Raw genomic sequence first — 16325 nt, forward strand, 5'->3', positions numbered from 1 at the left:
GAGACTCCATGTCAAAAATATATAATAATAATAATAATAATAATAATAATAATAATTGTATACATTTATTGAGGGTAAGAATATTAACATGGATTGAAACACAGCATTAATTATTTCTCTACCTTTTTGGACTCAAGAATCCTTTTCACAACAATGTATAACATCTCTGGTCCAGTTAATTCTTTATCTCTGTATTATTTTAGCAACATATTATGGCATCAAAAATAAACACATATTTCTTTACTCACTTGATATTAGAAATTTTCATACATGTGCTCAAAAAATCAATGTTTTAAAAAATGTATTTTCTGATTTGTTTCTAATTGGTGAACTGAGTGAGAGACTTTGCGGCTCTATTTGTAAATATTTCTTGTAAAAATATCTTTTTTCCCCCAACCCCCCAACAATAGATTAAAAGCTAAATTAGACATAACTGTCATTATACTTTTATTTTTTTAACTTTGGCTTTTGAAATATTGGAGATATTTCAATGTACTATGTAGGAATTTAAATTAAATAAATGAACCTTGTGGATCTGTTGAGGATCATCTCGAGGTGAATTTGCAGAATTATTATCATTTATTGCTTTTCATCAACTATATAATTGAGAAGGTTTTCCCAATGATTTATACCACCATAAAACACTTGGTCTTATTTCTATTAATTATGATTTGGAAGATGTAGTAAGTATAATGTTAATGAACATGTTGAATGATGTTAGATTAATTGGAATGACAAAAACGCCTTAAGCAAAGAGTGATAGTTGGAGAGTATTGGCCAATCCAAAGATAAACTATTATTTACTTTGTGTACTGCCCTGTCCTTAGAAATGTGGTCCTGAGCAAGAAATTAGAGTCAATCGCTGATCATAATTTCTTATTTTTTTTTAAGAAAACTTTTTATTATGGAAATTTCAAACATACACAAAAATAACTCCAATATTATTCATCTAACTTCAACCATAATAAACTCATGACCAGTCTTGTTTTCATATATATTCCCATCCAACCCCTTTCTCTCTCCATCTGAACACCACTGGATTATTTTAAATCCAATCCAAGACATCATATCACTTCATTCCTGGTTTTAATGGGCCTTTTGTTGGGAGAGAAAGGGGGAAGAGAACTAGTAGCATTTATGTAGCGGTGTGGTAGGAAGATCAGCGCAAAGCTCGTCTGTTTTCCAAAATGCCTGATATTGGTGGGCCATGGGTGTTAGAAATCACCAGGGAATTACGTATCTTTGGCTATTGCTCTAAACATAAGAACTAGGTAAATGACCTTGCAAAATGCACATCTTTCTGAGAGTGGAAAATACATTAATTTTCAGAAATTATAGGTATGCATTTTAAAATCAGATTCACATACAATCATCTGATCCAAGGTATAACCATAATGAAGCGGAATTTTGGGCAGATATGTTTCAGAGATAATTAGAAATGTCACAAAAAATTTCAGAAACTAGAACTTGATCTTCACCAGCAATGACAACAGTACACTAGAATTTTTGTTGGGGGGCAGTAAGGGAAAGAGGAGAGAACTTTGTGCAGAAATAAGCAGGAGGAAGATTCTCTTCTCACTTTTCACAACCTTCTTGGCAAATATTAAATAATATCTTTGTCTGTGGCATCAATTATTCTCTGTGTCGGTGATTTCTAGGTCTGCGTTTCTGTAACTTTCCTTAGTTTTGCTTCAAACATATAACTCCTTTGGTCCAAATATATAAATAGCTCTTTCTACATAGTTGTGTACAAACTTCCTCATATACAACATGTCTGGGAGAGACCATTCTGACCCCAAAGCATATTTTCCCTCCCATTTTTTTCATCTGTATGACTAGCATCATCATCCAGGTAGGTATCCAAGTTAGAAACAAGAATCTTAGTCTTCTCCTTCCTCTCCCTTAATCTTTAGATGAATCAGTCATTAGTTCTTGTCCCGTCTGCCTCTCAAAAAACTCTTACTAGATCTGCCTTAATTCCACTTTTTGTTTGTTTGTTTTGGTTAGAACTAGTAAACTTGTCTTAGATTGAATCCATTCTTCACCCTGCTGTTAGGCTTAATCTTAGCCAAAAGCCCGAGAAGTGATCACCCTGCTGTTAGAGACATGTTGAATATAAAAATCTGTTATCTCTCCACTCTGCAATTCTTAAACTTACCCCTTTATTTATTTATTTATTTATTTATTTATTTATTTATTTTTATTTATTTTTTGAGACGGAGTCTCTCTCTGTAGCCCAGGCTGGAGTGCAGTGGTGGGATCTCGTCTCACTGCAGCCTCTGCCTCCTGGGTTCAAGTGATTCTCCCGCCTCAGCCTTCCGAGTAGCTGGGATTACAGGTGCGTGCTCCCAAGCCTGGCTAATTTTTGCATTTTTAGTAGAGACGGGGTTTCACCACATTGGCCAGGCTGGTCTTGGTCTCGAACTCCTGACCTCAAGTGATCTGCCCGTCTCGGCCTCCCAAAGTGCTGGGATTACAGGCGTGAGCCACTGCGCCCAGCCAAACTTACCCCTTTATATGGCAAATATGACTCTTTACAATCTAGCCCTCCCTTACTTTTTTGGTTCGTCTCTGGCTATTTTTTAACGACTTTACCGTCTAACAATACGGAAAGACATGTAGTTCTCTAAACATGCCACGATACGGATTCTAATTCAGATGGGGCTGTAAATTCTATTCAGACACTCCTCAACTGACAATGGGGTTACATCCAGATAAACTCATCAATTTACAATATTTTCAATTTATAATAGATTTTTCCAGACCTAACTTCATCATGAGTAAATGAGTGAACAGAATGCATATTGCTTTTGTACTATCGTAAAGTTGAAAAATCCTAAGGAGAATCATCATAAATTGGGGACCATCTGTATTTCTTTTTCTTTTCTTTTCTTTTTTTTTTAAAGACGGAGTCTCACTGTGTTGCCCAGGCTGGAGTGGAATGGTGCCATCTCAGCTCACTGCAACCTCCCGAGCTCAAGCGATTCTCCTGCCTCAGCCTCCCGAGTAGCTGGGATTACAGGCGCCCGCCACCACGCCCGGCTAATTTTTGTATTTTCAGTAGAGACGGGGGCTTCACCATGTTGGACAGACTGGTCTTGAACTCCTGACCTCAGGTGATCCACCCGCCTCAGCCTCCCAAAGTGCTGGGATTACAGGCATGCGCCACCACTCCCTGCCGACCATCTGGTTGATGGCGTATGCCTGCAGTCCCAGCTACTCGGGAGGCTGTGACAGGAGAATAGCTTGAACCCAGGAGGCGGAGGTTGCAGTGAGCCGAGATTGAGCCACTGCACTCCAGCCTGGCAAAAGAGTGAGACTCTACCTCAAAAAAAAAAAAAAAAAAAAAAAAAAAAAGACTATCTGTATTTCTAGTAAGATGTCAGCTGATGCTGCTGGTCCACAGACCACATCTTAGCAGCAAGGACTACAGGATCTATGCTCATCCTGTCTCTTAATTACTAGAGGAGTCATGGTTCTTTCTTCCCCTTGCCGTTCATTCTGTTTTAACTGCTTTATGGTTTCAGCCATTTTATTTTGCACATCAGTCAGTTTCTCTCCCTAGATCACCAACTTGGCCAAATCCTTGTCCCCTTTAAGTCTCAACTCAGATACAATTTAGAAAACTGCCCTGTTATTCTGTTATTGCACTAGCGCATTGCATTCTGGATTCTTACTTGTCTATTTCCCCATTCAAAGTGTTCTCAGAATTACTCACAGTGCCAGGCACATGGGAGAAACACAGAAAATATTTGTGGAAAAATAGATAGGTGAAAATTTCCCCTTGATGACTTTATGATTGTGCTTTGACATTCCCATGGTATTCCCAGCATTTTATGGAGTAGTAAGTAAATATTTCTTTTTCTTTTTTTTTTTCACTTTTTAAATGTGCATTTCTTTAATTTTTAAAAATATACACAGGAGAAGCCATATGTTTTACATAGGAATACACACATTAACAAAGCATTTCTTATAGTTTTCCAAAACTCTATTAAAATCAGTCCAAAATTTATAAATTAAAGGAGAATTCTTAAAGTTAAAATGAATTCCCTGAAACTACTGGATATGCTAGACTTTTTCCAAAATCAAATGAACAGAGGATATGGATGTGGTTTGTGTTAAATAAGGTTTATTGTTAGCTTCATTGCCTATAGTCTATAAGACGCAACTTTATTGTGCCTTTGCAAACAGGATACATTTCTAAATATTTCTAAAGAGTCCTGAAAGTGGCTGGGTGCGGTGGCTCATGCCTGTAATCCCAGCACCTTGGGAGGCCAAGGTGGGCAGATCACCTGAGGTCGGGAGTTTGAGACCAGCCTGACCAACATGATGAAACCCCATCTCTACTAAAAATACAAAATTAGCCAGGCGTGGTGGCACATGCCTGTAATCCCAGCTGCTGGGGAGGCTGAGGCAGGAGAACCACTTGAACCTGGGAGGCGGAGGTTGCAGTGAGCCAAGATTGAGCCATTGCACTCCAGCCTGGGTGACAAGAGCAAAACTCCATCTCAGAAACACACACACACACACACACACACACACAAAAAACAGAGTCCTGAAAGTTTCATGAACCACAGACCTTAGAGATTTATTTGTAATCCCATTTTCATAATAGTATGGTAACCACAAACTAAGGGGCCCAGGTTTATCTCTGGAGAAGCTTCATAGAGCAGCCATTTGGGCTTTGATTAACTTATCATAGTTTGTCTTTAGCCCTAAGGCTTGTAGGCCCAGAAAGCTGAGGTGTCAACATTTTGAGCAAGTGTTCCTTTCTCAGTGGGGAGAGTCACGTTAACCCAGCTTTTAAGATTGATGTATAATTTAGAAAGTCAACCCATTTATTGACTGTGACAAGTTACGGCCTTAAGAACCAGAATATTAGAACCTCCATGATTAGCCCTTTCCTTGAGTACTCAAACTTTAAGGCAAGTCAACCCATACTTCAAATTTGTTTTGTAGGGCAGAATCTGAAAAGTAGGATTTAGATACATTGGATATATAGTGGCATCAGGTTAAGTTGGCTTGAAACATCTAAACAGCATTGGGAATAATCTTGCCAATAGGACCAGAAATTGTTAAGGTCTAGCAGCATGTTTTGCATTCATCTCTACTAAAAGAATGAATTTTCAGTGGGTCCGAAAATGCTCAATCAACCTCAAAGTCTGATGAGGGAGCGGACATTCCCAGAGCACCTGGATGGGCCCTGCCACTGTTTGCCTCTGGGAGTCTTCCTTTACCATCCTTCCATGGCAATGAGCCCCCTTTAGGGTAGACTTATTTTTTTCACGGAGCAATTCTTCCTTTTTAAAGGTGACTTTGCATAATTCTGCTCTGATCCTTCATGTCTTGTTTTCCATTATTTCAAAGACCTAGGAAGCACTTTCCAATAAACTTCCAAGTGATGCTTAAAAAATAACCTTCTGCCTCTGCAGTGAAGGCAGGGCTGGCCTTGTAAACAAGGCTGATGCTTGTAAGACCTGATAAAGGGAACGTCCTCCAGCCCAACTTCTTGGCATAAAAAGGAAAAAATAAAATTTCTTTTCCTCTGCCAAATACTGTAGATTCAGTCATTTCTTTTACTCAAATAAAAATGCCTCTGGGAGAGTAATACTATTCTCACCCTTCTCTCTCTCTGTGAAGTTTCACTGGGTGTGATGGAGGATGAAGTACCCATCACAGTATTAAATATCTGAGTGGGTAGAGAGTATTGGGGCCTTAGGTCTTTGTTCCAAAGCCCACCATTTTAGACTGTAGTCATCCTTTTTTTTTGTTTTGTTTTTTGAGAAAGGGTCTCTGTTGCCCAGGCTGGAGTGCAGTGGAGCAATCTCGGCTGACTGCAACCTCCATCTCCCTGGTTAAAGCTATTCCCCTGCCTCAGCCTCCCAAGTAAGTGGGATTACAGGTATGTGGCACGATGGCCAGCTATTTTTTTCTTTTTTTTTTTTGAATTTTTAGTAGACACTGGGTTTCACCATGTTGGCCAGATTGGTCTTGAACTCCTGACCTCAAGTGATCTGCCCGCCTTGGCCTCCCAAAGTGCTGAGATTACAGGTGTGAGCCATCTCATCCAGCCAGACTGTAATTACCTTACATTGCCATGAAGTTGTTGAGAGAATAGGAATCTGCACATAGAGCAAAAAAAATCCCAATAAATTATGAGAAGGCCGATGGGTGAAGGGTGAGAGTGCAGCTGCATCTTGATTACTTAGGCTAATAGTTCTTGGAATATGTACCCAGGGAAGTTATGAGTTTTCTCCCCATTGGATATAAATATTTAAATCATTGACAAGTGTGTCTTCAGTGGAGATTGACACAGTGAAATGTTTCTCTGTCTTGAATGTGCACTCAGTAGGTGTGATGCAGAGTAGGCATTTTTCTTTTCTGGAGATGGGGGGGGTCTCACTATGTTGCCCAGGCTGGTGTTGCACTCCTAGGCTCAAGTGATCCTCTCACCTCAGCCTCCTGAGGAGCTGGGACTACAGGTGTGTGCCACCATGTCTGGCTAATTTTTAAATTCTTCATAGAGATGGGGTTTCTCTATGTTGCCCAGGCCGGTCTCAAACTCCTGGGCTCAAGAGATCCTCCTGGGGTGCCGTGTACACTATTCGGGTGATGGGTGTACCAAAATCTCAAAAATCACCACCAAAGAACTTATCCACGTAACCAAACACCACCTATTTCCCCGAAACTATTGAAATAACAATAATAATAAAGAAATCTGCTGGACGTGGTGGGTCACGCCTGTAATCCCAGCACTTTGGGAGGCCGAGGTCGGCAGGATCACCTGAGGTCAGGAGCTCAAGACCAGCCTGGCCAACATGGCAAAACCCCGTCTATACTAAAAGTACAAAAATTAGCCGGGCATGGTGGCGGGCGCCTGTAATCCCAGCTACTCAGGAGGCTGAGCCAGGAGAATCACTTGAACCTGGGAGGCGGAAGTTGCAGTGAGCTGATATCCCGCCACTGCATTCTAGCCTGGGCGACAAGAGCGAGACTCCATCTCAAAAAAAAAAAAAAAAAAAAGAAATCCACCTGCCTTAACCTCCCAAAGTGCTGGGATTATAGTTATAGCCACCATGCCCAGCTGAGAGTCTGCATTTTTGACAAGCTCCCAGCTGAGGCTATGGGTCCATGGATTGCATATTGAGTAGCAAGGGCTACAAGATCCCCTGAGGTTTATTCCCACCCTCTCAATTACCAGCCAAGTCAAAGCTCTTCCTTTTTCTTGCCATTTGTTCTGTTTTACCTGCTTTCTGTGTACAGCTATTTTATTTCACAGAATCAACCATGTCATATGGTAGAAAACCTTTCTCAGGCATGTGGATTTGCATGGCCTTGGAAACATTCAGTAATGGGGAATTGTTGAACAACAAGGAAAAAATACTAGAGGGGGATGGTACTGTGTGGGTGGAGAAGGAGAGAGAGTGGTGGTGTGTGTGTGCACGCTGCAAGGGTGGGGTAGGGAGGAAAAAGGATATAATAGGTCTCACTGGAATGTGGAAATGTGTGTATGTAAAGAGACCTGTTAACTCATGTCTAAAATAGCATAACACCCCAGCATGGTTGGGCAAGTACAGTAGCAAAATGGAAAAAAAAAAAATCTAGGGAATGTCAAAGAATATTTTGGAATAATATAACCCCACTTCATGGTTTCTTTTCTCTTCTTTGCTGTTGTTGGTTGGATGTAGTTCTCTGCTGTTCAGAGTTTGCTCCGTTCCCTATCCTGTTTTGCAGGGATGAGGTGGAAGGCATTACAAAGGGAGAAATTTCTACTGTTTGTGGCCAAACAGTATTCAGGATGTCATTATTCCAGTTTCACTTAAGTCGTCTATCCAAAGTGTTATTATATAATTTATCTGCACAAATCCGATGTAACACCCTGACCTTCCTGACTTTGCTCTTTCTTTTTTTTAACCTTGTCTTTGTGCAGATTACACATTAATGGTGGAGAATTTTTTTCCCATTAAAAATAAAACTGCTTGAAATTTCACTTGTCAACTTTTCTCTTCATTTTAGTCACCCTCTCCCCATTTCAATTCTTCGGAGTCAGAAATTCCATAAGTATTTTATATTGTTGTTGTTAGTTTTCTCTTATTTATTAAATTGTTTTCCACAATTATGCATTCTTTTACCAGCCTTTAGAGTACAAAGACATTTCAAAATAATGCAAATAACAAAATTTTAACTGATCAAATGGCAGTAAAAACACTTCAAAGAGTTTCCCTTGGAGAAGTTTTTTGAAAACATAATCTTTCACCAGAAAGCTCAGAAAATGTATGTTAGGCCTGTCTTTAACATCATTTTCTGTGATATCTTTTCTTCATGATGGTAAGAAAAAGTATAGTAACTAAAACAAAGAAGACTGTTAGATGTATTGCAATTGTGATAAAACTCCAATGTTCAAATGCAGATTTTGTTTCGTTTCTCTGTTTCTCTATAGGGCTTACATTTCACATCTGCCTGTGCAGTTCTGTGGCTTAGACATCTCTGGAAAGTTTGTATTTGTTCAGAAGAAAGTGGCTTTTATGGAGATGTCACTGGAAAATGTTACTTTTGATTGCTTGGACTACTTAGGATTTTACGTATGTAAAGTGCCACATAATCCCATCAGTGGTTATTCCCCATAAACAATTTCATGACTTAATTTATTATTGCTACATCCATTTTATAGATGGTAATACCGAGGAATGAGTTACAGGACAGTTGAAATTAGCACCTACAATCACAAAGTTTTCCCAGACAGTTGTATAGTTTAAACTATAGACTGCAGAAGTGTTTCTTTGTGCCAAATATCTGATAAAAAGTGAAATATCTGGGGGCTCGGCATCTCTAGGGTTGTGTCTGGGTATGTAAAGGAAAAATGATATCTGAATCAGTTATATAATGTCATTGAGAAAAAAAAAATCTCTTGAAGTGGGAAAATTGTGGGTCCCATTGGCTCAATGGTCCTCCCTGGCAAACAAAATCTGCCAGATCATTGCTCAACTTGAATTTGTTTTCGTAAACATGGCTATCTGTTACAGTGCCACAAACAGCTGCCTTCCACGTTCTTTTAATTTTACTTTAAATCCTGAAAATGTGTCAATCAGATCTTAATGGTCACCTTAAGATTATACTGCTGTGACCTCAGAGAACCAGACAGTCTATGCGTAGAATGAAGTGGGTAGAGGTATCTTGACCGTCCTGCTCTATTTGCCTACAGCCATTAGTATTGGCTTTAGAAAGTGTATTCTAGTGAATGAGCTGGTAGGATCAGTGTGCATTGCTGTTCTCGGGGGAATTTTTCATAGCCCTTCATCAAATGGTGCAGTATCAGAGGTTCTCAATGACAGCCGGACTCTTAACTTCAATAAGGACATAAGCAGCATGGGGCAGAGGACATAGAGAGGCAAAGGAGGGTTATGTCTTACTACAGTGCTCTTGCTGCTCCCTAACATGATGTAGGATCCTCAGTTCTTCCTCCCTGTCGACATCTGGATTTTAGTCGTGTAAGACCCATTTTGGACTTCTGACCGCCAGAACTGTAAGATAATGAAGTCACTAAGTGTGTGGGAACTTGTAACAGCAGTAATAGGAAACTAACCCAGGCACTTTTTGCCTTCATGGGCTCTTTCCTCCAGTGAAAAAGTAGAAAATTGTATTTTATGATCATGTTGGTATAAAGATGAATATGGTATATATTAAAAAGGCTTTCTAGGCCGGGCGTGGTGGCTCACACCTGTAATCTCAGCACTTTAGGAGGCCAAGGCAGGAGGATCACAATGTCAGAAGTTCAAGACCAGCCTGGCCGAGATGGTGAAACTCCATCTCTACTAAAAATACAAAAAATTAGCCGGGCGTGGTGGCAGGCGCCTGTAATCCCAACTCCTGGGGAGGCTGAGGCAGAGAATTGCTTAAACCTGGGAGGCGGAGCTTGCGGTGAGCCAAGATCGCGCCACTGTACTCCAGCCTGGGTGACAGAGCAACACTCTGTCTAAACAAACAAAAAAACTTTCTTTGACCTAAAAGTTCCTTTTTTTTCTTCTGATTTTAAAAGAAATTAAAACATTTTCATGGGCACCTAAAAGTATCACGGCCTCTGAGCACGATGTCAGGTGAGCCTCACGGATAGCTCTGCTCTGCGTAGGAGTTGCTCTGTCCAAATCTTCCCCACCATTCACCGCTCTGGATCTAGCATAGCCGGGTGCATGCCAACTGAGGGATTTCAGAGACACTGACCTCTCATTCTGTTGTCTAGTTTCCTGATGTTTGAATGGGAGGGCACTTTACGTGGGTGGAGATATATATTTTGAGAAAGAAGAACTTATTCAGAGTGTGTCTTCAGTCGCATGACATCAGGATTGCCCCCTTACTATACACACAGTAACCAGACAATACATTCTAGTTGAGTGAAGAATTGTTACAAGATTTTTGTCTTTTAGTTCTGTTTCTTGGAAGATCTTGCACAATCAATATACCTTTGTTTACCTATCTTTCAAATAAAAGATAGAATAGATTTTTTTGTTTGTTTATTTGTTTGTTTGAAAAGGAGTCTCACTCTGTTACCCAGGCTGGAGTGCAGTGGCGTGATCTTGGCTCACTGCAATCTCTGCCTCCCGGGTTCTGCGATCTTGGCTCACTGCAACCTCCGCCTTTCAGGTTCAAGCGATTCTCCTGCCTCGGCCTCCCGAGTAGGAGTAGGAGGCGTGTGCCACCATGACTAGCTATTTAATTTTTATTTTTTTGTAGAGATGGGATCTCCCTATGTTGTCCAGGCTGGTCTCAAACTCCTGGGTTCAAGCAATCCTCCCATCTCAGCCTCCAAAAGTGCTGGGATTACAGGTGTGACCCACTGCACCCAGCCCTTAGAATAAATTACTTGTTAAAATTTGGAGAGAGGCTGGGCGCGGTGGCTCACGCCTGTAATCCCAGCACTTTGGGAGGCCAAGGCAGGAGGATCATGAGGTCAGGAGATTGAGACCATCCTGGCTAACATGGTGAAACCCCATCTCTACTAAAAAATATAAAAATTAGCCAGGCGTGGTGGTGGGCACCTGTAGTCCCAGCTACTCGGGAGGCTGAGGCAGGAGAATGGCGTGAACCCAGGAGGCAGAGCTTGCAGTGAGCCAAGATCGTGCCACTGCACTCCAGCCTGGGTGACACAGCAAGACTCCACCATAAAAAAAAAAAATTTGGAGACAGATGTGATAATAATGTCAATAATCTTTATGTAATAGCATCCATAGTTTGCAAAACACTTTCATATACATTATCTCTTTTGATAATCTGTAAAGTCATGTAAGATCTTAGGAGGAAAAATGCTTTATATTTATATAAAAATATTAATAGTAACAGTGGTTTTAATTTTAGATAAATCATTTGTCATTTATAATTCTATGAAGAAAAATGCTATGAAAGACAATTATATATCTGACTTTTGTCACTCTATAATTTGGCCTATGCTCTCAGATGTAAGCAAAAATGCAAAACAACATTTGTACTCCTTACTCATATATACTACTTTCCACACTTTGCCTCTGTGAAAAATGCTACATTTCAAGTTCATGACTACAAGCGTTAATGCTGTGAATTGGAAATTACAACATACCTCATTGCATACTCCATTAACTGTTTCCACTTCTCCAACAATCGGAAGCCAGAAAGGCTTGATTTCTAGCTAAAAAGCAAAGCGAGATTGAGGGAAGTTCAGAGACGCCATGAAGGAACTGGTGACCAGAGTCCCTTGCTGCTTATGGAACCCACAAGAATAAAGATAGCCGCTTTTCGGAATTACGATTCTAATTCAGGATTTGTGGAGTTTACTCTAATTTGGTGCTGTTCTGGAAAAGGCTATGTCGAAAAGAATTTGTTTCTAGAGATTTTCAGGAAAGTAGCCAATTCAAACTGCTCAACCCTGTGAGATCATTCCTGGCTGGTAGCAAGAACTTTCTGTCATGTGGGGCTTGCTTGAGAGTGAAGAGTACCCGCATATCCACTGCTTCTGAATTCATACCTGTTGGGGCTTATATGCACACGTACACACCAGCATCTGGGTCTTCATACCCGCTTTTCACACTGATCGTGTGAACTGATTCACAAGCCTTCAAGTGTCCTAGTTAGACCAATTTAGTCCAGCTCTGAAAGAACAGATAGGTAAGATAGACTGTCACATTCCATCAAGTTAATTTCTAATTTCACAATTGAGGTTTTAATAGGACGTCTGGCCTATTAAGGTCTTTTACTCTGTTCAAGAGCAACCAAACACCGCTGCCAATTCTATCATTAAGATCAAGCTGCTGTTCAGCGACCCTCCCCTCGGCTGCCCTTCCGTCTTGGGGCCTTCCCAGCCTGCCTATGGTTAGGAGCCGTTTAAAAAGTTGCACTCATTCTAGTTACACCCTGCCACACCTCCAAGCCTGTGGATGATTTCGTCTGAGTTCCCAGCAGTCTTAAAGCTTTGCCAACAGCAGACGGAGGTATCACGCTGAGCTCTGTGGAGAGAAAGCTTTGCACTGTGCAAGTGACCCATTTGGCACCAGAGAGGGGGAGGGGAAGAGAAATCCTGATGGGCTCCAGGGACTCCTCATCCATCTACTTCTCCCCGGGATCCTCTCCTGGAGGGCTCTTGCAAACACAGTTGCCCCGCCACGGTGGAGGATCATCAACAGAAACCCACGAAACAAGGCCATGCCCCGTGGCACTCTGAGTCAGTCCCGTAGCGTGATTTACCAGCTCTCTGAAAAAAGAAATCTGCTAGGACCTGGGCTGGAACCGTAAGATGTAAAGATGTCAAGTTGAAAAACCTAGGGTGGGCCCAAACCTCCAACTCCCCAGCCCCGATTCCCACCCTGGGAAAATCATTCCAGTGTAAACATTTCTTTTTACATTTAGTATATCTGTGCAAGAAAAACTACTTTATTACTCAACATTAATAACATTCACTTTGAACCTTAATTCTGAAAACCACAGAATTTTTTAAATGCTGTAAATAGCTGACACGGGTGTTCTTCCCTTGCTTTCAAAGGAATTGTTTTTGTAATTACTGAGCAGGGTGAAGCTGAATTTCCCCTGCAGTAAACAGGAGAGTGTGTAATGAGATATCTTAACTAAAAACATTAATCATATTCAGATTAATTAATAATAGAAAACTTTCAGGACATTCTTAATGCTTTAAAAACAAAAAAGCTTTTATTTTTTGAAGTTGTTAGGTCTCCATTCTAGTTCTGAGTACAAATAAATGCCTGACATATGGTCTAAGCCAAATTCCAAAATGTAGCAAAAACAGTGCCTGCATATTTGGCAGGAATTTAAACCAGTTCAGGTCAGTGTCTCTTTCTGCCCAAAGAAGAGTTTCTGCATTTGCACTGAGCTAGGAAAATAACACAGGAAAACATGGGGAACAACACGGAATATTGTAAGCTCCAGTACCCGGCTGGCCAAAGAATAATGTTTGGGGCAACTCTGAAATTACCGCCCAGGCTGCAGTTTGGGTTTGCATAACGTCTTGGAGGACTGTGAGCAAGACAGAAAGTACCGATTGCATTGTTGTAAGGAAATTGCCTTCCCCCTTCTAAAGCTCTCACCTTGCAAATCACCCCCTCTTAGCAAAAGCACATCTTACTTGTTAACTCTTCCCCTGCTACTAACCTTTTCAATCATCCCCCTTCATCATTGCAGAATGGCCTTTGGAACAAAGCAGCATTTTAAAGCCTTTCCCACTAAAAGTTTGCCCCTCCCCCCCTTTAAAGAGGCAGTGTGGGGGTAATTTTCTTTCTTCCTTTCTTTTTTTGTGTTTTTTTTTTGTTTTTTTTTGTTGTTGTTTTTTAAATTTGTTTTTCTGCAGTGTACTCTTGTGAGGTTGTCATTGTTTGGGGGTTGATGGATATTTCTTCAGAGATACCATCATATCGCTTGTTATTGTAACACTTATTGGTGATAAAGTTCAGACTAAAAATTAAGCAGCTGCAATGTAGCAGCACAAATTAGTTTAATGTAAGCAGTCAGGAGCAGCTGGCTGGCTCAGGACTTGAATTTAGCTGTGGGGGGAAGGGTTCTGTGACGCTGATGTGTTTTTTTCCTCTACATAAACATTTTTGGCTGTTGCAGCTTTTGTGCTGATCATGTGACAGTGTCCCTAGGCAGATAATTTATTTCTGTGGCTTTCATGAGCAATCATTAACCTTCAGACACCCAGTTTGCTTTTGCTTTGTGGCATTTATTATTATTATTTTATTATTATTATTATTATTTTTCGTATACTAACTAGTTTAATTCAGAAAGTGTCAGGAGAAAATTACAACCAATTTACGATAGACTGCAATGCATAATACTTATGTTTCCATTAAAGCAGACCTTGCTTATAAGACCATTCTCATAGCTTTGAGGGTGTTTGTGAATCAGGATAATTATTTTCAGTGTGTCTGTCGTTAGGATGCTCCTTTAGTATCCTCTTCTGATTGCCAGGCCTCTGCAAGCTGGCCTTGGAGAAACTCAATTTGGAGATCAACCTTTGGCAGTCTTCGTCTACTCGCTAGGAGGCTGGAACCCCAGAGGGGTTAGAAATTGGGCTTCTGGAGACAGGCACTACTTCGGTCCCTTCTTCCTTCAACAACTGACACGCCAGCCTTCAGTAAACAGTGTGGCCATTTGTAGTGAATAACTGGAGCTGGAATATATTGGGGTTGAAAAACAAAGGAAATTAGAAACAGTGTCCTGCATAAATCAGAAGGGGGTGGGGGACAGAAAAGTATCATTTCTGACATCTACTAATCATGCTGACCTGTTTTCTGAATTTATCTGTTTTGTCCTTCTCAGATCTGTTTGTGTTGCTCAGCCATTTCTGCCAACCAGTAATTCAGGAGTGAAATGCACAGGGTCACTCTTTGGTGTCTATCATACATGATATCTTCAGACACTTTCAGAATGCCGATTATCTCGTGGGTATTGTGTGGGCCCTGTTAGATATTCATTTATTCATTCTCTCATGGTGCAGGGTTGGTAGGGGGAGCACTCGGGACTACTTGCACAGAGGGATTTGATAAAGTGTATTTATAAGCCCCAGTGTACTGTGTTTGGTGAAAAATAACAGAAAGACGTAACTCCTTTTCTGTTTTCTTCATTTAGAATATTCCAATCATGAGAGTTATTTCATAATTAATACATAGAATGCAGCATGAAAATTCAATGTTTCCAAATGTTTGATTCAAAAGCTAAAAAAAAAATAGGAGAAATTGATCATTATCATTCTTTAAACATTTTAAAGCACCCTCAACAGACTAGGTACTACGTACGCTGAACGGGAAGAAGAGCTTGACCACTGAACGATAGAAATGAGGATGCCTCAGTAGCCGGGTGATCTTTGATGAGTGAATGCGTCCCATAGGTGTAATGAATGTGATAGGGCACAGAATGTTCTATGAGTTGCATTGTTGCTGGGGTGGGGGCAGGAGGGTGGGTAGGATATGGGAACTTCTTTGTCCTCACCCAAAAGAGAGGGATTTCTTTCCCAAACATAGGGCGCTAGCGTTCAGGAATTTTCTGTACTTCTTCCTAATGTTATTTTCTTGCTCACTGGATTCCAGCTCACACAATTGTCAGCGCTGCATTATGACTTTTGTGGCTTGTCTGGTGGTAAGTGGTCCACTTGCTTTGCTTTTGCCTTTGTGGGCCTCTTCCTCCATAAAAATATTGATAATCATATTTTATGACTGTATTGGTGTAAGATCATATAATCCAGGCTGGATTCATGTTTACATATTCGTTATTATTATATAGTTTTTTTCTTATGATTTTAAATAAAATGAAAACATTGTTGTAAACCCCTAAAAGTATTGTGGGCCCTGGGTACTGTGCTTCCGATGTGCCTAAGGGAGAATTCAGCCCTAAGGGTGGGCACAAACACACAACTGACCTTTGCCCAAGGTGAAGATACCCTGGGGGAACAAAGCAAATAGGGTAGAGAAGTCGCAGTCTCTTTTCCTCAGGTTAAAGCATTCACAGTTAATTCCAGACACTCCCAGATTCGACTTTCTATGGGGGGGCCCTTCTGGGGAGCTCACCCTTATCCTGCCCTCTTCCCCCAGTGGTGGAGGCCACTCTTACAGGGCCCAGAAAATACAGCAGTCAGAGGTTTGGGGTTAATGGGAGGGTAGCTGGGAAGACACCTTGGAGAAGGAAAAGTTTAGACCCTAAAGGAAGGATAAATTGTAGATAATGGAAAAAAGGGGGAGGGAGTTTCCATGTCAAAGCAAAGTCTTGGGCAAAAGGTCAAATATTTTTCTGGTTTCATCCATAAGCTTTAAAATAGTCAACACCTGGCAGTTATAGAATAGCCCAGAAACCACTGC

General features: G+C 40.8%; 1 long non-coding RNA gene across 1 annotated transcript, besides 1 other annotated feature; it reads right to left on the reverse strand.

The window, feature by feature from the left end:
- Positions 1-8055: 8055 nt before the first annotated feature.
- LINC01625 (long intergenic non-protein coding RNA 1625) lies at positions 8056-13657 on the reverse strand. The gene is made up of 4 exons (NR_033919.1): positions 13627-13657; positions 11993-12116; positions 11588-11656; positions 8056-9521 (listed from the first exon to the last, which is right to left on the reverse strand). It is a non-coding gene; the product is annotated as a long intergenic non-protein coding RNA 1625 (long non-coding RNA).
- Positions 12046-12546: an enhancer, noted in NCBI's record as "H3K4me1 hESC enhancer chr6:139794122-139794622 (GRCh37/hg19 assembly coordinates)". NCBI's record gives its function as "activates a minimal SCP1, AML or CMV promoter by ChIP-STARR-seq in primed H9 embryonic stem cells {active_cell/tissue: H9 hESC(primed)}" and the evidence as "EXISTENCE:reporter gene assay evidence [ECO:0000049][PMID:30033119]".
- Positions 13658-16325: the final 2668 nt, after the last annotated feature.

The sequence above is a fragment of the Homo sapiens genome, chromosome 6, assembly GCF_000001405.40.
Source record: "Homo sapiens chromosome 6, GRCh38.p14 Primary Assembly".
Classification (NCBI taxonomy): domain Eukaryota; kingdom Metazoa; phylum Chordata; class Mammalia; order Primates; family Hominidae; genus Homo; species Homo sapiens.